Raw genomic sequence first — 19,774 nt, forward strand, 5'->3', positions numbered from 1 at the left:
GAACATTTTCCCTGGATATAAATATATTTAGTCTGAGGTATTTATGCTAAAGTTTTTTTAAAGTGAATATTATACTTTGACAATGTGACTCTGAGCTGTGGCATACAGAATTAAAACAACAATATTTAGCCTACCAAAAATGTTGAAATTTGCATCAGATCTCTGCAAAGGTGTAAATAGAATGGCTTGACATTTGAGAATTTTTTTTAAAAAAGGAAACTAATAACTCCAAAGACACAGTGGCAATCCCAGAAAAAAATTAAACTATAGACCAAAAAAGGACAAAATTATTAAAATACACATATATACAAAAATATCATCTGCCACAGTATTTTTTTTTTAGACAGATTCTCACTCTGTCGTCCAGGCTGGAGTACAGTAGCATAATCTTGGCTCACTGCAACCTCCTCCTCCTGGGTTCAAGCGATTCTCCTGCCTCAGCCTCCCTAGTAGCTGGGATTACAGGCACCCGTCACCACAACTGGCTAACTTTTTGTATTTTTAGTAGAAATGGGGTTTCACCATATTGACCAGTCTGGTCTCAAACTCCTGATCTCAGGTGATCCATCCACCCCAGCCTCCCAAAGTGCTGGGATTACAGGCGTAAGCCACTGCACCTGGCCAAGTTTTAATTATTCTCTGGGCTCCCCAGTTTAAAATATTTTTATATATGCTATGACAGAAACAGATTCATCCATTTAATTTATTTGAGTAACAGCACTCTGTTTAATAAATTTTCTATTTTAAAATTCATTTTACATTGATCATATGCCATGTGCCAGACTCTATATATAAGATCTGAGTTATTCTTGGAAGACTTCCTGAATTTGTATTTCAATAGTTTAGAAGATTTTGCTTTCTATCATTCTAGAACAATAGTAACTTGATAAATTCTTTCTTTGCTAAATTCTCAGTGCAGATTTCACTAGCTGGGCTATTTCAACTTATTTATCACGAAGCATTTGCTGGGCCATCCCCTGTGGCATGGATGTCACCAATTCCATCTTGGAATTTGCTCTATTTCTCCACTGGGTGAAGTGGTTTATTGGCTGTCAATCTGTAAAGTGCTCTCTGGGATTATCTGAGTGCAAGACAGTAGGAGTGGAAACATATTTCACTGTCTTTTCTGTCAAGATGAAAGGAACATGCCCAATAAATTATCTTCTAGCAAGAGTGGATGAAAATTCCAGTGAGTGACCTAGAGCCTCCATCAGATGGTGGCCATACACAGTGTCCTGTGGATAGTTATGGTCTCCAGGGTCTGATGGCTTCTTCTACTGTCACTTTAGTTTCATATTTGTTATTACTATATGTGTATGTATGTATGCATACATTATATATAAATATTTGCTCTAAAACCTACTCCTCAAAGTCATGGAAAGTGAGAAAGAGAGAATTAGAATTTTCCTTCCCACCCTGTCCTCATCTGCCCAGTTTCTTCGCCATACCTCCTCCACCCTCCATCTAACCATTGTTACTATTTTCTTATGAGTCCATACAGATTTTCTTTACATACTTGCAAGCAAATATGAATATTTCCTTTGGGTTGTTTTCCTTTTATACATAAAAGGTAGCCCACTAGATACGTTATTCTGCACCTCATGTTTTCCCTCTCATTTCACAGATAGCACCCTTTGTTTTGTTTTGTTTTGAGGCAGTTTCACTCTGTCACCAAGGCTGGAGTACAGTGGTGCAATCTCGGTTCATTGCAATCTCCACCTCCTGGGTTCAAGCAATTCTCCTGCCTCAGCTTCTCAAGTAGCTGGGATTACAGGCAAGTGTCACAACACCTGGATAATTTGTGTATTTTTAGTAGAGATGGGATTTCACCAAGTTGGCCAGGCTGGTCTCAAACTCCTGAACTCAAGTGATCAGCCTGCCTTGGCCTCCCAAAGTGCTAGGACTACAGGCGTGAGCCACTGTGCCTGGCCCCTTATTCTTTTTATAGCTGTATAACATTCCATTCTTCCAATATATGGATAAACCATAGTTTATATAATCAGTCCCCTTTTGAGGGAAATTTAGGTTTTTTCAATCTTTTATTATTACTGCAATAATTAACCCTGTACACCGTCATTTTTCCTGTGTGCAAATATACTTTAGGACAAATTTCTAGAAATGGAACTGCAGGAACAACTGATCTATGTGTTTGTAATTTTGACAAATATTGCCAAATTGTTCTCTATAAGGGCTGTACCAAGTCACTCCCACCCACAGTGTGTGGTTCCATTTGATGTATTTTCAATGGTTTTCTGAAGACAGAACATGTTCTGATCATTTCTTGTTTCCTATCTATGACATGCCTTCATTGAACAAAGACTTACCTAGGGCCAGACACGCCCCACACCCTCTTCTTAGGTCCTGGAAATAACAGCAGTGAACAAAGCAACACAAATCCATTTCTTAACATTTGTGTTGTGAGACAGAGAAATAGAGGGTGGAGGATGGGCCTGGAACATACTTTCGTGATCATCTGAAGCCACAGTCACCAACTCAGATGTCACACAGGGAACTTGCGTGTGTGAAGAAGGGCAGCAGTGAGCTGTCAGAGGGAATGGTGAGGCCTGCGTGGTCTTGAAGAGCACAGGCCTGTGTGCAGGCTGACCTACAGCAATAGGTCATGTGGGAAAAAAAAAAAAAAAGCCCATGTGACAGCGCTTCCCAATTTTCAAGAGAAACCAGAAATACAATTTTCATGTGATATCTCCCCACCTTTAATGCTGAGAAGTCATTCTAAATTTTAAGAACACTTTGAGGACAGTTTTTGTTACTGGGGCTAAGCAAGTTGATACTACAGTTTATATGGAAAAAGAAACATTCCTGCGAATATCTAGGAAAATACTGAGGGGCAAAAAGCTATAGTGGGCATTGGAGACTAGCACTACTATTCATTAAAACGTCTACAAAGCCTCTGTAATTAAAACTGTGCGGTACTGGTGCATGAATAGATGGACCAGCAGAACAGAATAAAAAGGCCGGAAATCAACCTAAGTGCATATGGAAAAGTGGTATACATTCAAGGTGGCATTTCAAAACATTGGGACAAATACTGAGTTTTTATTAAGTGGTGCTGCAACAATGGTTAGCTGTGGAACAAAGATAAAACTGGATCATGGGAGTCACTTCCAAGATGGCCGAATAGGAAGAGCTCCAGTTTACAGCTCCCAGCAAGATCGATGCAAAAGATGGGTGATTTCTGCCTTTCCAACTGAGGTACCTGGTTCATCTCATTGGGAATGGTTGGACAGTGGGTGCAGCCATGGAGGGTGAGCCAAAGCAGGGCAGGGCATTGCCTCACCCGGGAAGCACAAGGGGTTGGGGGATTTCCCTTTCCTAGCCAAGGGAAGCCGTGAGTGACTGTACCTGCAGGAATGGTACGCTTCTGCCCAAATACTGCACCTTTCCCACGGTCTTTGCAACCAGCAGACCAGGAGATTCCCTCCCGTGCCTGGCTCGGTGGGTCCCACGCCCATGGAGCCTTGCTCGCTGCTAGCGCAGCAATCTGAGATCGACCGGGGGATGCTGGAGCTTGGCAGGGGGAGGGGTGTCCGCCATTGCTGAGGCTTGAGTAGGTGGTTCTATGCTCACAGTGTAAACAAAGTGGCAGGGAAGCTCGAACTGGGCGGAGCCCACCGCAGCTCAGCAAGGCCTACTGCCTCCCTAGATTCCACCTCTGGGGAAGGGCATATCCGAAGAAAAGGCAGCAGAAAGCTCTGCAGACTTAAACGTCCCTGCCTGATAGCTCTGAAGAGAGCAGTGGTTCTCCTAGCACAGTGTTCGAGCACTGATAATGGACAGACTGCCTCCTTAAGTGGCTCCCTGACCCCCGTGTAGCCTGACTGGGAGACACCTCCCAGTAGGGGCTGACAGACATCTCATACAGGCGGGTGCTCCTCTGGGACAAACCTTCCGGAGGAAGGATCAGGCAGCAATATTTGCTGTTCTGCAGCCTCCACTGGTGATACCCAGGCAATCAGGGTCTGGAGTGGATTTCCAGCAAACTCCAACAGACCTGCAGCTGAGGGGCCTGTCTGTTAGAAGGAAAACTAACAAACAGAAAGGAATAGCATCAACATCAACAAAAAGGACATCCATACCAAAACCCCATCTGTAGGTCACCAACATCAAAGACCAAAGGTAGATAAAACCACAAGGATGGGGAGAAACTAGAGTAGAAAGGCTGAAAATTCCAAAAACCAGAATGCCTCTTCTCCTCCAAAGGAACACAACTCCTGTCGTGTTCTCCTGGATGGAGAATGAGTCTGATGAGTTGACAGAAGTAGGCTTCAGAAGATCAGTAATAACAAACTTCTCCAAGCTAAAGGAGCATGTTCTAAGCCATCGCAAGGAAGCTAAAAACCTTGAGAAAAGGTTAGATGAATGGCTAACTAGAATAACCAGTGTAGAGAAGAGCTTAAATCACCTGGTGGAGCTGAAACCCACAGTATGAGAACTTCGTGAAGCATACACAAGTATCAATAGCCAATTCATTCAAGCGGAAGAAAGGATATCAGTGATTGAAGATCAAATTAATGAAATAAAGTGAGAAGACAAGATTAGAGAAAAAAGAGTGAAAGGAAACGAACAAAGCCTCCAAGAAATATGGGACTATGTGAAAAGACCAAATCTATGTTTGATTGGTGTACCTGAAAGTGACGGGGAGAATGGAACCAAGTTAGAAAACACTCTTCAGAATATTATCCAGGAGAACTTCCCCAACCTAGCAAGGCAGGTCAACATTCAAATTCAGGAAATACAGAGAACACCACAAAGATACTCCTCAAGAAGAGCAACCCAAGACACATAATTGACAGATTCACCAAGATTGAAATGAAGGAAAAAATGTTAAGGGTAGCCAGAGAAATAGGTAGGGTTACCCACAAAGGGAAGCCCATCAGACTAACAGCAGATCTCTCAGCAGAAACCCTACAAGCCAAGACAAAGAAGGCCATTACATAATGGTAGAGGGATCAACTCAACAAGAAGAGCTAACTATCCTAAATATATATGCACCCAATACAGGAGCATCCAGATTCATAAAGCAAGTCCTTAGAGACCTACAAAGAGACTTAGACTCCCACACAATAATAATGGGAGACACTGCACTGTCAGTATTAGACAGACCAACGAGACAGAAGGTTAACAAGGATATCCAGGACTTGAACTCAGCTCTGGACCAAGTGGACCTAATAGACATCTACAGAACTCTCCAACCCACATCAACAGAATATACATCCTTCTGAGCACCAGATCGCACTTATTCTAAAATTGACCACATAACTGGAAGTAAAACACTCCTCAGCAAATGTAAAAGAACAGAAATCACAACAAACTGTCTCTCAGACCACAGTGCAATCAAATTAGAACTCAGGATCAAGAAGCTCACTCAAAACCGCACAACTACATGGAAACTGAACAACCTGCTCCTGAATGACTACTGGGTAAATAACGAAATGAAGGCAGAAATAAAGATGTTCTTTGAAACCAATGAGAACAAAGATACAACGTACCAGAATCTCTGGGACACATTTAAAACAGTGTGTAGAGGGAAATTTATAGCACTAAATGCCCACAAGAGAAAGCAGGAAAGATCTAAAATTGACACCCTAACATAACAATTAAAAGAACTAGAGAAGGAAGGGCAAACAAATTCAAAAGCTAGCAGAAGATAAGAAATAACTAAGATCAGAGCAGAACTGAAGGAAATAGAAACACAAAAAACCCTTCAAAAAAAATTCAATGAATCCAGGAGCTGGTTTTTTGAAAAGATTAACAAAATAGATAGACTGCTAGCAAGACTAATAGAAAAGAGAGAAGAATCCAATAGATGCAATAAAAAAAATGATAAAGGGGATATCACCACTGATCCCACAGAAATACAAACTACCATCAGAGAATACTATAAACACCTCTATGCAAATAAACTGGAAAATCTAGAAGAAATGGATAAATTCCTGGACACATACACCCTCCCAAAACTAAACCAGGAAGAAGTTGAATCTCTGAATAGACCAATAATAGGTTCTGAAATTGAGGCAATAATGAATAGCCTACCAACCACAAAAAGTCCAGAACAAGGCAGATTCACAGCCGAATTCTACCAGAGGTACAAAGAGGAGCTGCTACCATTCCTTCTGAAACTATTCTAATCAATAGAAAAAAAAGGAATCCTCCCTAACTCATTTTATGAGGCCAGCATCATCCTGATACCAAAGCCTGGCAGAGACACAACAACAAAAAAAGAGAATTTCAGGCCAATATCCCAAATGAATATCAATGCAAAAATCCTCAATAAAATACTGGCAAACTGAATTCAGCAGCACATCAAAAAGCTTATCCACCATGATCCAGTCAGCTTCATCCCTAGGATGCAAGGCTGGTTCAACATACACAAATCAATAAACATAACCCATCACATAAACAGAACCAATGAAAAAAAAACACATGATTATCTCAATAGATGCAGAAAAGGCCTTCAACAAAATTCAACAGCCTTTCATGCTAAAAACTCTCAATAAACTAGGTATTGATGGAACATATCTCAAAATAATAAGAGCTATTTATGACAAACCCACAGCCAATATCATACTGAATGGGCAAAAACTGGAAGCATTCCCTTTGAAAACTGGCACAAGACAAGGATGCCCTCTCTCCCTACTCCTATTCAACAGAGTATTGGAAGTTTTAGCCAGGGCAATCAGGCAAGAGAAAGAAATAAAGGGTATTCAATTAGGAAAAGAGGAAGTCAAATTGTCTCTGTTTGCAGATGACATGATTGTATATTTAGAAAACCCCATCATCTCAGCCCAAAATCTCCTTAAGCTGATAAGCAACTTCAGCAAAGTCTCAGGATACAAAATCAATGTGCAAAAATCACAAGCATTCCTATACACCAATAACAGACAAACAGAGAGCCAAATCATGAGTGAACTCCCATTCACAATTACTACAAAGAGAATAAAATACCTAGCAATCCAATTTACAAGGGATGTGAAGGACCTCTTTAAGGAGAACTACAAACCACTGCTCAACGAAATAAAAGAGGATACAAACAAATGGAAGAACATTCCATGCTCATGGATAGGAAACATCAATATTGTGAAAAGGGCCATCCTGCCCAAGGTAATTTATAGATTCAACGCTACCCCCATCAAGCTACCAATGACTTTCTTCACAGAATTGGAAAAAACTACTTTAAAGTTCACATGGAACCAAAAAAGAGCCTGCATAGCCAAGACCTGACTTCAAACTATACAAGTCTACAGTAACCAAAACAGCATGGTGCTGGTACCAAAACAGATATATAGACCAATGAAACAGAACAGAGGCCTCAGAAATAACACCACATATCTACAACCATCTGATCTTTGACAAACCTGACAAAAACAAGCAATGGGGAAAGGATTCCCTATTTAATAAATGATGCTGGGAAAACTGGCTAGCCATATGTAGAAAGCTGAAACTGGATCCCTTCCTTACACCTTCTAAAAAAATTAACTCAAGATGGATTAAAGACTTAAATGTAAGACCTAAAACCATAAAAACCCTAGAAGAAAACCTAGGCAATACCATTCAGGACATAGGCATGGGCAAAGACTTCACGACTAAAACACCAAAAGCAACGGCAACAAAAGCCAAAATAGACAAATAGGATCTAATTAAACTAAAGAGATTCTGCACAGCAAAAGAAACTATCATCAGAGTGAACAAGCAACCAACAGAATGGGAGAAAATTTTTGCAATCTATCCATCTGACAAAGGGCTAATATCCAGAATCTACAAAGAACTTAAACAAATTTATAAGAAAAAACAAACAACCCCATCAAAAACTGGGCAAAGGATATCAACAGACACTTCCCAAAAGAAGACATTTATGCAGCCAACAGACACATGAAAAAAGGCTCATCATCACTGGTCATCAGAGAAATGCAAATTGAAACCATAATGACATACCATCTCACACCAGTTAGAATGGCGATCATTAAAAAGTCAGGAAACAACAGATGCTGGAGAGGACGTGGAGAAATAGGAAGGCTTTTTACACTGTCAGTGGGAGTGTAAATTAGTTCAACCATTGTGGAAGACAGTGTGGTGATTCCTCAAGGATCTAGAACTAGAAATACCATTTGACCCAGCAATCCCATTATGGGGTATATACCCAAAGGATTATAAATCATGCTACTATAAAGACACATGCACATGTATGTTTATTGTGGCACTATTCACAATAGCAAAGACTTGGAACCAACCCAAATGTCCATCAATAACAGACTGGATAAAGAAAATGTGGCACATATACACCATGGAATACTATGCAGCCATAAAAAAGGATGAGTTCATGTCCTTTGCAGGGACATGGATAAAGCTGGAAATCATCATTCTGAGCAAACTATCACAAGGATAGAAAACCAAACACCGCATGTTCTCGCTCAGAAGTGGAAGTCGAACAATGAGAACACATGGACACAGGGAGGGGAACATCACACACCAGAGCCTGTTGGTGGATGGGGTGTTGGGGGAGGGATAGCATTAGGAGAAATACCTGATGTAAATGATGAGCTGATGGGTGCAGCAAACCAACATGGCACATGTATACCTATGTAACAAACCTGCACATTGTGCACATGTACCCTAGAAGTTAAAGTATAATTTAAAAAAATAATTTTAAAAAATCCGGATCCTATGGCCGAGCGGGGTGGCTCACGCCTGTAATCCCAGCACTTTGGGAGGCCGAGGCGAGCAGATCACGAGGTCAGGAGATCGAGACCATCCTGGCTAACACGGTGAAACCCCATCTCTACTAAAAATACAAAAAATTAGCCGGGCGTGGTGGCGGGTGCCTGTAGTCCCAGCTACTTGGGAGGCTGAGGCAGGAGAATGGCGTGAACACAGGAGGCAGAGTTTGCAGTGAGCCAAGATTGTACCACTGCACTCCAGCCTGGGTGACAGAGCGAGACTCCGTCTCCAAAGAAAAAAAAAAAAAATCCGGATCCTTATCTCACACCATACGAGAGAAGCAATTGCAAATGGATCAGAGGTCTAACTGTAAAAGATGAAACCATACAGGCACTAGAAGAAAACATGGATATGGTCTTGCATAGTCTGGTTGTAGAGAAAGGCTTTCCAACTATGACTCAAAATCCAGTGGCAATAAAAGAACAGATTGATATATTTGACTACATAAAACTAAAAAGAGGCCAGGCACGGTGGCTTATGCCTGTAATCCCAGCACTTTGGGAGTCCAAGGTGGGTGGATCACAAAGTCAGGAGATCAAGACTAGCCTGGCCATATGGTGAAACCCCACCTCTACTAAAAATACAAAAATTAGCCTGACATGGTGATGCGCACCTGTAGTCCCAGTTACTCAGGAGGCTGAGGCAGAAGAATCGCTTGAACCCAAGAGGCGGAGGTTGCAGTGAGCCAAGACCACGCCACTGCCCTCCAGCCTGGGCGACAGAGCGAGACTCTGTCTCAAAACAAAATAAAACACAACCAAAAAAACCTTAAAAGAAAAAAATGTTTTCTTGGCAAAAAATACCATAAGCAAAGTCAAAAGACAAATGACAAAATGGGAGAAAATATTTGCATTTATGTCACAGATAAAGAGCCAATGTCCTTAATGTAGAAACAAACTCTTTAAAAAAGTGAGAAGTGAGATATTTTATAAGTCCATAGAAAAATGGGCAAAAGACATGATGGATAAGTCACTAAAAAAAGATATTAAAATGGGCTTAAACATTTAAAAATATGTTCAATTCACATTATAAGAGAAATACAAATTTAAACTGTGCTGAGGTACCATTTCTCTCCTAGCAGATTGGCAAAAAATGTTTAATATAACAACACATTCTGTTGGTGAGGCTGTGGGGAAAGAGGTACTCTCATACATTGCTGGTGAAAATGCAAATTGATACAAACTTTCTGGGAGGAAATTTGCAATTCCTAACAAAACTACAAGTGTCTTCCTTTTGACCCAGTTATCCAGGAACATACCTTAAGTTACTTCTCCAACAACATAAAAAGTACTATAGCATTGTTTGTAGTGCAAAATTCTGGAAACATACTAAATGCCATACATGGAAGGGTAGCTGAAGAAATGATACTAAGTCCACACAATGAAATACTATACAGTGGCTTTAATTAAAGATTATTAGGAATATCTCTATGAACTGAAGTGGAGTGATTTGCAGGCTGTATTGTGAAGTGAAAAGGAGAAGTACAAATGAGTATCTATTGTGTGCTACTTATCATGTAAGAAGAGAGAAATCATAATATATACTTGTGTCGACTATACAGAACAACAACAACAACAACAAAAACATAAGAAGGACAAACCAGAAAGTAATGATAACGATTACCTAAAGTTGTAGGGTCCATGCCTGGTAGGTAGGAAGTGGGTTGGGGGTAAGTTACAAAGGGCAGTGACACTTCTCTGAGGATACCTTTCTGTGTAGTTCTGACTTTTAGAACCGTGTTAGTGTTTCACTTGCCTAAAACAAACAAACAAACAAGGTGGGGAGAAAACACTAACATAAAACACAAACAGAAAAAAAATGACCCTCATTAGAGGTGGAGGAACTAATCTAAGTAATATTTGAATAAAGTATTTTGACAAAAGGCAAAGACAGTGTAAAAAAATATTGAACTCTACTTACTGAGTTGGGTTTTTGCAGTAGAATGGGATAGCAATTCTGAAGCTACTTTCTGGGCATTCTAAGATTGAGCATTGTGTATAAATAATGTATTGTGGATAATGGGAGTCAAGTTTTTCACTATCAGGGAAGGGAGTTACAAATATGGCAAGAGGAGAAGGAAATATACTGAATCATGTGGTGTTAGGAATCTGAGGTGTCATCATAAACTCCAGGTTTTAGTAGATTGAATATAAATAGATGATTGATAGAGAGGTTGATTAATAATATAGATGTAGATAGATTAATTGATATTGATAAATGATAGATAGGTAGATATAGATAAATTTATATAGCTGTGTCCACCAAGGGAGCCTAGGATCAATGACACTGCAGCAGCAATAAGCGCATCTGGCACCCAGATCTTGGCTTCTAAGTACTATTCTCCACTAAAAAGAAGCAGGACTCCTTAGAGAAATAACTGATTCCAGGGCTGGTACAAGAAAAAGACCCTATGAGCCCAAAGCATTTTGTTGTACCAGAGTAAAGAAGAGCTTGAGAATAATAGGGATGTGTCAAAAGTACTCAAAACCCAACTTGAGCAATCTCCCACTGACCAAAATTTAACAGCAATAACTGATTAAGGCAAGGGTCATCAACAGATGCTAAAACTAGAGGGTAAATGTTTTATGAGAATGAGGGTATTTACATCATCTCAAAGTACCTCCCTCATACACAAAATGCTTTTTAATTACAATGGGAAAAATACAAAGGACAAAATTTACAGTGAAGAAACCTTAGAGACACTGCCTTAACCAAGTAATCAAACTTAACATTATCAATAATGCCACAAAGCAATGTCAAGTGCCTCCTCATATGCGGCACTGGTGAGGATACAACATCACTCCTGGAGTACTCACCAAAAATGCATAATCTGAATCTAATCATGAGGAAACAACAGACAAACCCATGTTAAGGAGTATTCTACAAAATCACTGGGCTGTACCAGATTAAAGGAAACTAAAGAAACAGGGAAACATAATCTTAAATTGGATCCTAGACCAGAAAACATAAATATTCCCCTTTGCTATAAAAGACAAAATAGGTAAATTGGTGAAATAAGCATGAGGTCTGTGGATTAGTTGATAACACTGTATCAATGTTAATTTACTGATTGATTTGATCATTGTATCATGGTTATATGAGAGATTGTCCTTTTTAAAGATATTTTGAAATGTTGAGGATAGGCCTGAAGTTTACTTTCAAATGGTTCAAATAATACAATTGGGGAGTAAAAAGTTAATCTTTGGGGAATTTAGTTAAAGGGTATATAGGAATTCTTTATTCTTATGATGTTTCTGTAAGTAATTATTTAAAAAAAAACACTGTAATGACAGTCTGCTCTATACAGGCAAATACAAAAAAACAACAAGAATAATAACAAACCACGTTTGCTACCAGCATGGGTCAGTCGGCTGGATTTCACTCCTGGGCTGCCAGTTTGCAATCTCTGGTTTAGAGCTGTTTTCTTGAGTTGATTTTGAGTGTGGTCTTGCTGATAACTGTTGCCAGTGCTGGAGAATGCTTTTGCTGCATCTGGAACTTTTAAACCAGCTTAGCACCAGATAAGCAGACAGCCCTTATATAAATAACCAATTTGATAATTTGACAATGAAACAGTTAAAATCCGAAGGCAGCCCCAGTCCTCCAAGATGGCTAGGGGACCGTGGTCCAGTCCTTCCCCCATGGAAGTCCTGCATTTCAACAGCTGCCTTGGAGAAGTGCAAGTACTCTGGCTTCCTGGTTTCTGGCCTCAACCATACACGATGCTAGAGGGGTATCAAATTATCTTTTAGAACCCCACTGTTGAAGAAAAAATGTTTGCATAAATAAAGGGAAAAAAGAAACTCTAAAGTTGAACAAGTAAAGTTATGAAGAAAGAAAAATCTGTTTCAATTTTGGAAACAGAAATGTTATTGTTGGCATGTCAAGCTTTTCTGTGTAAGAAGGAGAAGCCAGGTGAGTGTCAGGGCTTCCCCCAGGGACCTCGTGCGGCATATGGGAGGGTCACATCTGAGGGTGCAGCCCAATGTGCCAGAGCCAAGATATGTTAAATCAGTTCACAGACTGATCTCAGGACATTCATGCCACCTCTCCCTTCTCAGTCTACAATCACTCTTTCCTGCTTATTAATAAGTCCAAAAGCCACTAATAAGTCTCAAGACACAGACCAAGAATACTAAACTTAGAGGAGGAGGCTCCCTCTGAACTGGGTCTTGGGAAGCAGGCAAGGGTAACTCAAGGGAGGGGCAAAGAACAACATTCTTGGCACAGGGAAAGCACAAGCAAAGGAGAAGCATGACAGATATGACATAACTTTGGGCCTGTGTCTTTTTTTTTTTTGAGATAGAGTCTCACTCTCACCCAGGCTGGAGTGTAGTGGCTCCATCACGGATCACTGCAACCTCCGCCTCCCGGGTTCAAGTGATTCTTGTGCCTCAGCCTCCTGAGTAGCTGGGATTACAGGTGCGTGCCACCACTCCCAGCTAATTTTTTTGTATTTTTTTTAGTAGAGATGGGGTTTCACCATGTTGGCCAGGCTGGTCAGGAACTCTCTCTCTCTCTCTCTCTCTTTCTCTCTCTCTCTCTCTCTCTCTCTCTCTATATATATATATATATACATATATATATATATTTTTTTTGAGACAGAGTCTCACTCTGTTGCCTGGGCTGGAGTGCAGTGGCACTATCTCGGCTCACTGTAGCCTCGACCTCCCAGGCTCACGTGATCCTCCCACTTCAGCCTCCCGGGTAGCTGAGACTACAGGCATACACCACCACACCTGGCTAATTTTTTGCATTTTTTTTTTTTTGTAGAAATGAGGTTTTACCATGTTGCCCAGGCTGGTCTTGAACTCCAGGGCTCAAGTGATCTGTCCATCTCAGCCTCCCAAAGTGCTGGGATTACAGGCATGAGTCATTGCACCCGGCCTGGGCCTGTGTCTTAATCTCTTGCTATTTATCTGTATCTCTTAACATCTCTCTGGGAATAGTCCAATAGATATGCAGTTTGGAGTTGTAAATTTAGCTTCCTAAGGACAGGGAAGCCCAAGGAGCACAGATCTAGTAGATTCTGGGTTTCAGGCCTCCCTATCCAGCACGCAGGAAAAGTACCCGTCTTAGCCCCTGATCACGTGCTCCTCGTCCAGGTAACCTCATCTCCAGAAAAATGAGGCTGAGGAGGTTTGACTAATGATTATGCTTATCCCAGAATAATTTTCTAGATTTCTGTCAATGCCTTCCCTTCCTCAGATAAATCCAGTACAATCATTTCCTACGCCATCCTGCTTTAAGCACAGCATGCAGGAGTGGCGGGAGCTTAGAGTTAAGATCTGGAAACTCCCAATCAATGACTTGCCCTGTCATCTTGAGCAGCGGCTTCCCGGACAGATAGGATTCCCCGACACAAAGGCAATCATCACCATCTCAGCTCTGATGGAGCAAGCCACTTAACCTCGTGAAGCCTGTTTCCTCATCTGTAAGATGGCATTATTAACAGAGAGGTTGTGAAGACTGGTGAAGACAGAGTCCTGCCATGACAGGGCTTGACACACCTCCAGCTGCCTCAGGCTCTACCCAAAGCTGGGAGGAAAGGGAAGGGGGATCTTCTCTACACCTCAGGAAATGCCCCCCTCCACAGCTGTCAGGGCAGGCCCACCTCTGACATTTGCAGGACAAGAGAGCAAATGGAGGCCAATTCTGTATGCTGTGGAGTTTTCTTCATTCCATTCCATCTAAATCAGGAAAATGCAACAAAATCTGAGGCTGAATGACCAAGTTCGAATTTTAAACGAACAGATTCCTTGGAGTGCTGCACCGGAGTGTGACAACACAGGGACAGCCAAGCCCAGGCTCCTGGCTCACAGCTGCCTCACTGCTCTCCCCTGATGTGTGGGCCCCATGCTCAAGCCTGTGGGATAGGAAATTCCAAGGTCCTAGGTGCCCCAGGTGCATTTCGTAACAGGGGAGGTGGAGGCACAGACTTCAGGTAGCCACATGCCCTGGTGTCCTGCAAATTTCTTACCCCATGGGGAAGGGAACAACTGGACAAAGGCCTAAATAAAGACTTCTAAAGCACCAGGCCCAGGGCAAGCGTCCCTTTTGCTCAGGTCTAAGGGCAAGAGTGGGACAGGATTAGATATCTGACCTGTAAACAGTACCCCATTGACTGGCCAGTGACCTATGAGGTGTCCTGGCATGAAGAGCTCTGCCCAGAGAGGATGATCGTTGAAGACTGTAATTTCCAAAACTGGCTACCACAGTATTTCCATTCACAGGCTCTTCTAGCACGTTGCCATGCCCCTTCAAGAGATGGAGTCTATTTCTCCTCCCCCTGAACCTAGGTGGGACATTATGATAGTCTTGGTGAACAGAATGCAGTAGAAAAGACACTGAGTAATTTCTGAGACTAGGTCATAAAATGTGATATGGCTTCCGCCTGGGACTCTCTCAGAGGACACACCCTTGCAACCAGCCACCATGTTGTGAGGAAGCCCAGGCCACTGGAGAGATCACTGTTTGAAAACATAGGTTTCAGGCTGGTGGCGGAGGTTGCAGTGAGCTGAGATCACGCCATTGTACTCCATCCTGGGCAACAAGAGCAATTCCATCTCAAAAACAAACAAACAAACAAAAAAGAAAATATAGGTTTTATTATTATTCAGGTATGAAGAGGCCAACAGGTCAAGAGACGACTGCCATTGAAAAGACAGATTAGGCTGGGCACAGTGGCTCATGCCTGTAAATCCCAGCACTTTGGGAGGCCAAGGCGGGCAGATCACCTGAGGTCAGGAGTTTGAGACCGGCCTGGCCAACATGGTGAAACCCTCTCTCTACTAAAAATACAAAAATTAGCTGGGTGTGATGGTGCATCCCTGTAATCCCAGCTACTCGGAAGGCTGAGGCAGGAGAATCACTTGAACTCAGGAGGCGGAGGTACAGTGACCTGAGATTGCATCACTGCACCCCAGCCTCAGTGACACAGACACAGCGAGACTCTGTCTCAAAAGAAAAAAAGAAAAGATAGTTTGTTACTCACAGATCCAAGAGAAGGGGACACACCAAGTCATGCAGGAACACACGCAGAAGCACCAGCTTGGTCAGGAACCTGAGGGAGAAAGGAAAACTATGGCAAAGGCATTTAGTGTGGTTTCTACAAAAAGGAACAGGGTAAGCAGGTTCAGGATTAGCTAGTTTAAATAATTTTGGTGGGCTCTGAGGTGTAGGGGCTGGCCCCAGTAGTCTGGTACTTGGCCCCTGGGTGACTAGGGCAGGAAAATAGGGGCCTGTAATTGCTGGATAAAGGGGGTGGTTGGGAATGTGGGCACTGGATTGACTGGCTTGCATATGAAAGACACCCTCACAGGTCAGTTATTTGCTATCTCTAGGAATCTGCTATCAAAGGGGCAGTCCCTCCAAGGTCAGCAAGGCCCCAAGATGCCAAAAACAAGACCCCAATATGTCAAAACATCAGAGTACAGAAAATAAAAGACATGGTCAATAGCATTTGTAGGTTTTCCAGCCAACAGCCCAAAGCATCAGCCAACAGCCGGCATCAACTGTGACATGCGAGAAAGTAAGCCTCCAGATCAGTCCAGCTCCCACTATCAAGCAGCCCAGGTGACCCCACAGAAAGCAAAGATGAGCTAGGCCCACCAAGCCCTGCCTAAACTGCAGATTCATAAGCATATAAGTATTTTTTGATTCTGTAAAAGTCACTAAAATTGGGGGTAATTTTTTACATAAGTATAGTAACTTGAAAAATCGGAATGAACTAAGGCAAACAGACTGTCTCCCAGATTTAAACTGGGACTTATGAAAATTAGTGAGTTGTTAACAAGAGGACAAATGGTTAGACCCAAACTGAAGCAGTGATGAAAGATGCAGCTGAGTCACATTCATGACAAATGACTTGTCTGGAGTAACAGGAGTTTAGTCTGGAGTGGCCTTGCTCCTGAAAGACCCAGTTTCCTGAGGTCATCCCTGAGGCCTGCCAGGTGATATAATAGCTTTCTTTATGGTTTGAGCTGAGTTCCTGTGAGGCCTTGGATGGGCAGAGACTCTCACTCCAGGACCCTCATGCTGATCTTTCCCTGACATGGTCTCCATTTCCTGCACCCAAGGGAGCCTCTCGCCTTTGGAAACACGGTACCCAGCCACAGCTTGGTGTGCAGTAAACAGGCAGGATGGGTGACAACCACCCTCCTTCTTTTCTCTTACCAAGGGCCATCAGGGAGTCAGAAAGACACTAAATATTAACAAGCTGTGTGAACTCTCAACGTCTAGTCAATTCCATGTGGCTAGTATCCGTTTCCCCAAAATATTTTTTGCTTTTGATATTTTAAAAATAATTTTTAGTAGAACGTCCAGAAATTTTACTTCTTTGGTCCCATCCCTAAACTCAGACCAGGACAGGGAACCCCTTCTGGTTTGCACCCATTCCAGAGCCTTCTGGCAACAAACCATCATCTGTGTGTTCTTGCCTAGAAAGGAAGGTCCAGAGAGAGGAGGCCACTTGCCTGTTGCCTCTTTCAGCTGAGATAGGGCCTCCTTCTCCACCCATCCCAGCCAGGCACTCAGGTGTGGATCACAAGGAGTGCCTCCCATGGCCATGGTGGGATCAGAGCCAGATGGGGTAGATGGGGACAGTTCACTGGGGTTAAGAGCCCCATTTAGGAATGTGGGTTGGCAGTGTATGGGGGAGGGGAACAGTGTGCATCAGGGGCGCCTGAGTGTATGTTAGCAGCAACCAAGGAGGGCTGTGTGGCAGGGGAGGGGGAAGTGGGAGAGAGGGAAGGAGAGTGGAGTCAGGAGACAGACTGACTAATTTACTGAGATTTTTTTTTTTACCTCCTTGTATTCTTTTTTTTTTTTTTTTTTTTTTTTGGAGAAGGAGTCTCAGTCGCCCAGGCTGGAGTGCAGTGGTGCAATCTCGGCTCACTGTAACCTCCGCCTCCAAGGTTCAAGCAATTCTCCTGCCTCAGCCTCCGAGTAGCTGGGACTACAGGTGCACGCCAGCACACCCAGCTAATTTTTTGTATTTTAGTAGAGATGGGATTCACTGTGTTGCTCAGGCTGATCTCAAACTCCTGAGCTCAGGAAATCCGCCTGTCTCAGCCTCCTGAAGTGCTAGGATTAAAGGCATGAGCCACGGCCCCTGGCCACCTCCTTGTATTCTTCCCTCCCATACCCTGACCCCTGTTCCAGAGGAGAGAGCCCAGCTCTCTCTCTACCCAGGCCTCTGGGAAGTTAGTGTGAAAAGTAGAAATTGCCTACAAATGCTCATCTGTGATCATGTTCATGAGGGAGGCTCTGAGAACCTTCCAAGACCAAGAGGGTAGGAGGCTGGGTTCCAGGGGAGCTGAAAGAGGAGGGCAGTGCTTGTCAGGGCTGAGACCTGGAGGGCCAGAGCGGGAGGGAGGGAGGGAGAAACAGGCAGTGCCAACGTAGAGAAACCAGCCTGGGCAGAGACAGCCTTGTCACGTGTGAGCCCAAGTACAAATGAGCATGTAGCTGCACGTACCAAGGTGTGTGTCTGTGACCAGACCTGCCCGTGAAATATCTCCCTTGCCCAGCCAAGGCACCGCCCATGTGAATGGTGCCAGTGGGAGGTCTGCCATGGCAGCTGCCTGTCAAAGCTGATGCTATAAAAGATGTGAGAGGGCAACTACCTTCCCAGAAGGGGCTGCATACACACGCATATGGACCCCCTAATATATACACGGGTGCATGCAGTGATGCACATATGGGTTGGCCCTTCCTCTTCATCAGCAGGCAGCCTTGGGATGACGGGTGACATAGAATTCACACCACAGAGTGTGGCCACGTCTGGGTCTGCTCACCTCAGCTCCAATACAGCCTGTGTAGGCATAGGCCAGGGAATAAAGGGGGTACCTGTGGCTGGGCCAGAGCCCAGGGCCTGGGGAGCCTGGCTGAGAGAGGCGACAGATGACAGCAGCCAAGCAAAAGTAACCTCCATCAGCCAGGCCACATGATACCTGCTAGCTGAGATATGGGGAGTCATCCAAGGGACAATCCACACAGGGGCTAAGTGTGGGGTTCCACCTCAAGGGGCTCAATGGCTCCAGAGTCACTAAATCAACTTGAGACTCTGTGACTCTCTGCCCTTTCAGGAGCCAAAGCCACTCCTGCTAGTGGGCTGAGGGCACACAGAGATACCCTGCCCCCTCTGCTCTGGGAGCTATTCTATTGTGATAGGGTTTCAGGGCAGGGCCATGCCCTCCCCCAGCCGGGGCTGTCAGAGAGGGCCCAAGCCTGAGGCCATGTCCTCTTTTTGCACCCAAACTCTCTGGGTAAGGCAGGGCTGTAATTTTGGAGGTACAGAAGTGGTGGCAGGCGTGTCCCCCTCCAGGAAGGCTTCTTGGGTTTCTGGGTACGCTAAGAATGTTTCAGCTCATTCCCAAGGTCCTAGAGTCTATCTCAGATCAGGATGTGTCTTGTTCTCAAATTCCCCAAATATCTCCTGACCACCAGCTTTAGGCCAGATGCCCTTTTCTCTGTGTGCCCAGGACCCTGGTTGACTGCCCTTTTTTCCTTCACCAGTGGCTTGCATCCACTTTGCCTTTCATTTTCCTCCTCCAAGACTGGCTGCCAAGTGGGGCACATCGCTCCAGTTCCCCTGCTTTCTACCCTCTCCAGACAGGCACTCAGGCCTTCATATTCCTGAGGGCGTTCTTTTTTGTTTTTTTTTTTTGAGATGGAGTCTCACTCTGTTGCCAGGCTGGAGTGCAGTGGCGCGATCTCAGCTCACTACAGCCTCCGCCTCCCGGGTTCAAGTGATTCTCCTGCCTCAGCCTCCCGAGTAGCTGGGATTACAGGCCTGCGCCATCATGCCCAGCTAATTTTTGTATTTTTAGTAGAGACGGGTGTTTCACTACATTGGCCAGTCTGGTCTTGAACTCCTGATCTCAAATGATCTGCCCACCTTGGCCTCCCAAAGTCCTGGGATTACAGGTGTGAGCCACTGCGCCCAGCCTCCTGAGGGCATTTCTGCTAATACTCTGGGGAAAACTGAACAAGAGTGCAAATCATGACAGGTAAGGTAAGAGACACGACTGAGCCC

General features: G+C 43.6%; 1 long non-coding RNA gene across 2 annotated transcripts in view; it reads right to left on the reverse strand.

The window, feature by feature from the left end:
* ITGA9-AS1 (ITGA9 antisense RNA 1) overlaps positions 1 to 19,774 on the reverse strand; it is a 108,092-nt gene that overhangs the window by 82,005 nt on the left and 6,313 nt on the right. The window contains exon 2 of one of the 2 annotated variants that reach the window (NR_110532.1): positions 15,731 to 15,799. The exons of the other annotated variant lie outside the window; for it this stretch is intronic. This is a non-coding gene — a long non-coding RNA (ITGA9 antisense RNA 1). The remainder of the gene's footprint in view (positions 1 to 15,730; positions 15,800 to 19,774) is intronic. 2 annotated transcript variants of the gene reach the window in all.

The sequence above is a fragment of the Homo sapiens genome, chromosome 3, assembly GCF_000001405.40.
Source record: "Homo sapiens chromosome 3, GRCh38.p14 Primary Assembly".
In the NCBI taxonomy this organism is placed as follows: Eukaryota; Metazoa; Chordata; class Mammalia; order Primates; family Hominidae; genus Homo; species Homo sapiens.